The sequence below is a fragment of the Homo sapiens genome, chromosome 19, assembly GCF_000001405.40.
Source record: "Homo sapiens chromosome 19, GRCh38.p14 Primary Assembly".
Lineage (NCBI taxonomy): Eukaryota > Metazoa > Chordata > Mammalia > Primates > Hominidae > Homo > Homo sapiens.
In genome coordinates, this window is record NC_000019.10 from 40,920,742 (window position 1) to 40,921,710 (window position 969).

At 48.9% G+C, this 969-nt stretch overlaps 1 annotated feature.

Moving 5' to 3' along the window:
• Positions 311 to 581: a silencer, noted in NCBI's record as "fragment chr19:41426957-41427227 (GRCh37/hg19 assembly coordinates)". NCBI's record gives its function as "represses an EF-1alpha promoter that drives an FKBP-Casp9 reporter gene in an ReSE screen in HepG2 liver carcinoma cells {active_cell/tissue: HepG2}" and the evidence as "EXISTENCE:reporter gene assay evidence [ECO:0000049][PMID:32094911]".

Consider the following 969-nt stretch of genomic DNA (forward strand, 5'->3'; position numbering starts at 1 on the left):
CATCTGTTGATTCCCTATCTTTGCTATTGTAAATAGGATTTGGACCACATTTCAAGTACTTAATTAGTGGCCACATGCAGCAAGTTACTACCATATTGGACAATGTAGCCTCAACCCACTATATGACCTTGGGTAAGACTTGCAAACTGTCACTGCTTCAATCTCTCCATCTATAAAATGGGGATGGCAACAATACCTCCCTAAAAGGGTAAAGACTGAGTCACTGTGTGTAAAGCACTTCATGCCTCCCCACTGGTGCTTCACCCTGGGGCTGGAATGAGCACCCAATCTTAGCGTCAGATGACACAGCACAGCAGGACCCTGGTCCTTGGGTCAGAAAAGTCCATGCTGGCACCTCTCCAGTGTCAGGAAAGTACAGCTTCCACCTCATAAAAATCAGGATTGTTTATCTTATCCTCCTGGGTCAAAGTAACTTCTGGGCTCAGGGTAAACACTGAGTCACTGTGTGTAAAGCACTTCACGCCTCCCCACTGGTGCTTCACCCTGGGGCTGGAATGAGGACCCGATCTTAGTGTCAGATGACACAGCACAGCAAGACCCAGGTCGTTGGGTCAGAAAAGTCCATGCTGCCTCCTCTCCCCGGTCAGGAAAGTACAGCTTCCACCTCTTAAAAGTCAGGATTGTTTGCTTCTCCTGGGTCAAAGTAACTTCTGGGCTCAGGGTAAACACTGAGTCACTGTGTGTAAAGCACTTCACGCCTCCCCATCGGTGCTTCACGCTGGGGCTGGAATGAGGACTCAATCTTAGTGTCAGATGACACAGCACAGCAAGACCCAGGTCCTTGGGTTGGACAGGTCTGTGCTGGCACCTCTCCAGGGTCAGGAAAGCACAGCTTCCACCTCTTAAAAATCAGGACTGTTTGTCTTCTCCTGCTGGGTCAAAGTAACTTCAGGGTCAGGATCCTGGATCCAGCAAAGAGTTTGGTTAACATTGCAAGAAAGATGTTGC